This window comes from Homo sapiens, chromosome 14 (genome assembly GCF_000001405.40).
Source record: "Homo sapiens chromosome 14, GRCh38.p14 Primary Assembly".
In the NCBI taxonomy this organism is placed as follows: Eukaryota; Metazoa; Chordata; class Mammalia; order Primates; family Hominidae; genus Homo; species Homo sapiens.
Window position 1 is genome coordinate 97105810 of NC_000014.9, and position 3021 is coordinate 97108830.

General features: G+C 47.2%; 1 annotated feature.

Moving 5' to 3' along the window:
- Nucleotides 913–2112: an enhancer, noted in NCBI's record as "P300/CBP strongly-dependent group 1 enhancer chr14:97573059-97574258 (GRCh37/hg19 assembly coordinates)". NCBI's record gives its function as "activates an origin of replication core promoter dependent on BRD2, BRD4, P300/CBP, MED14 and CDK7 cofactors, with strong dependence on P300/CBP, by STARR-seq in HCT116 cells {active_cell/tissue: HCT116}" and the evidence as "EXISTENCE:reporter gene assay evidence [ECO:0000049][PMID:35650434]".

Consider the following 3021-nt stretch of genomic DNA (forward strand, 5'->3'; position numbering starts at 1 on the left):
TGTGCGTGCACGATCAAGAAATGTTGGTCCTCACTGATGGAAATAATTGATTGCAATACAAAAAGATGCGTGTCACAACCTCTTTTTATCCTCAACTGGGAGTGGGGGCATATTCGGTTTATATTCTTTAGTTGAAATACTTTTGTCTTCATCATCTGTTTCTACAGCTTGGAAGAGTTCCCAGAGGGCTCAATGTGACCCTGGTCAAAGATCAGCTAAAGATGGGGTAAATTCCAGAGAGAGACAACCACAGCGTCTGCCCTGAGCCTTTGAGAATCCAAAGTGGGCAGTCTACTCTTACTTTAGTTTTGTCTCAGTTTTATTTTAGATCGAGGGTCAGCAAACTAGGGTCTGTGGGGGCACCCACCTGCTTTTGTCATTAGCATTTCCCTGGGACTCAGCCATGCCCATGGGTTTGCATCTTATCTAAGGCTGCCTCCCAGCCACAGTGGCAGAGTGGAGTAGTTGCAACAAAGACAGCGTCAACCGCAAGCCCCACATTTTTACCTCCTTGCCCATTTCGAAGACAAGTTGCAGACTCTTGGCCTAGATCTTGAAACTGAATTGGAAAGAACCTTGGAGGGGCCCTCCCTGACTCTGTGGGTGGATGCTGGAGTCCCTGCCTGTTGATTCTTCTGCAGCTGCTTGAGTGGCCTGCACCTGGCAGGAAAGCCCATTCCACGGCGGAGTGATTTTCAGTGTTTTCTTTCAGAGCTCTGTTTACCCTTCCTGGGTAAACAGATGTCTTACAGTTGAACTTCATAGCTTCTCGCCACGTAGCCATGCACCCTTTCCTTTTCTTCATACTTCACTCAACACCAAGAAATACCACCTCTCCCTTCGGGAACATCCGCTTTTAAATAAACCCACGTGCCTCCTCTGAGTATCCCTGCACAGATGAAGTGCCGGTGGGTAGGACCCCAGCCTGTCCTCGGCTTGAGACGCCCGCAGGGGAGGTGGAAAGGGCGTGGCTGTAGTCAGAAGACTGAAGTTTAAGGGTCAATTGGTCACTCAGTAATTATTTACTGAGCACCTACCTGCTTCCAGTGACTCTTTTAGCCACTAGGGACACGAAGTTTTCAAAACAAATTTCTGTCCTTTGCTCCAAAGCCTCTGGGGGAGATAGATCACCAAGGCGGAGGTTGGGGGTGGGTGGGGGGAGGGTGGAATTTAAAATAAAACTGTAGTGTGGAGGGTGCATGCCGGTGAGACCTCTAACTCAATCCAGTGGGACTTGGGGAGGGCTTCCTGGAGGAGGTGCTTAAGATCCAAAGAAACGAAGGATGAGGGATGGAAGGAGAGTCAGTGGAGGGCATTTGGGCAGACTGCTAAAGGTCTGTAGTTCCATCCAACTCTTACCTTTCCACTGCTATTTCCCCACCCCTCTCTAAGTTTCAGATGTGTCTTTGGGCCTTGGGACTTCTTCAAATGTCAATGTGCGTGAATCACCCGGAAGCTTGTTAAAATCCCAGCTCTGATTCAGCAGCTCTGGGTGGGACCTGAGATGACACATGTCTTACGAGCTCCAGATGGCATCCATGCTGCTGGTTAAGTGACCGCACTTCGCACGCAAACGTTCACTGCAGCACCGTTCTCAATGGCAAAGACATGGAATCAACCTAAATGCTCATCAGTGGCAGACTGGATAAAGAAAATGTGGTACATATACACCACGGAATACTATGCAGCCATAAAAAGAACAAGTTCATGTCTTTTGTGGGAACATGGATGAAGTTGGAGGTCATTATTCTTAGCAAACTAACACAGGAACAGAAAACCGAATACAGCATGTTCTCACTTACACGTGGGAGCTAAATGATGAGAACTCATGAACAGAAAGAAGGGAACAACAGACACTCGGGTATACTTGAGGGTGGAGTGAGGGAGGAGGGAGAGGAGCAGAAAAAAATAACTATTGGGTACCAGGCTTAATACTTGGATGATGAAATAATCTGTACAACAAGCCCTGTGACATGAGTTTACCTATATAACAAACCTTCACATGTACCTCCAAACCTAAAATGAAAGTTAAAAAAGAAGAAAGACCTTGGAGGATTTTATCGACTTAGCAAACATTTTTTTAAGAATCTATCCTGTGTGAGTCACTGTACCAGGATCAGCTAGAACAGGGAGATGGGAGTCAGGAATATCTGTACCTTGTAGTCATCTCACTCCGTCGGGGAGAACAGACATTGAGGCAAGGACCACACAGATGATCAATCACATTTCTGATGAGCTCCATGAGGAGAAGGAAGGGTGCCATGGGGGCGTAAATTCAGGGCTTCTGACTAGTTGGGGTCAGGAGGTTGGAGTTAGGCAAGGCTTCCCTGTAGGAAGTGAAGAGATATTTAAGGCTAAATCTTGGTTATCAAAATCCCCCTCTCCCATCCTGGGACCTCACAAATAATTTGCTTTCTGTACGGAATGCAAGTGAACTTCATTCCATAAATGCTTGGGAGGATCCAGGAGAGCTCAGTCTTCACACTGACAATGAACTCTCAGGCCCTGAGACTTACCTCAGGCACCTCCTCCAGGAAGCCTAAAAAGATTGACCCTACCTGACAGTGTTCAAACGAATCCTCTCATAAGTCTATTCTTGAAGGCCCATGTTTCCTGCAGGTTTTGTCAGGGGCCTGGTTTCCATGTCTCTCCCTCAGGAGCTGGAGCACTGGCCCACACAAGTCAGGCTTGCAATAATTTCTGACTGAGTGACTTTGAAAGTATCTGAAATGGGGACTTCAAAAATAAAAGGCAGTTAAGAAGCATGTTGCCTTTTTGATATCTGTCCTAGTGTTGCCAGATAAAGAGAATCCCATTCCCTTCTGTCTGGCTTTCAGTTTCTAAGGCTCAGGCTGAGCAGGCCTTCCACCTGTGTGATGTGAAGACACCTATGACTGCCTTTGTTGAGTACCTGCTATGCACAGGCTCGGGGCCAGCTGCTTTGCCTGCCTCATCTTTTCTGTACAACTGTCCTATAAGCAGTAGTTAGTGTGGCATTATACAGGCAGGCCGAGACGTTCA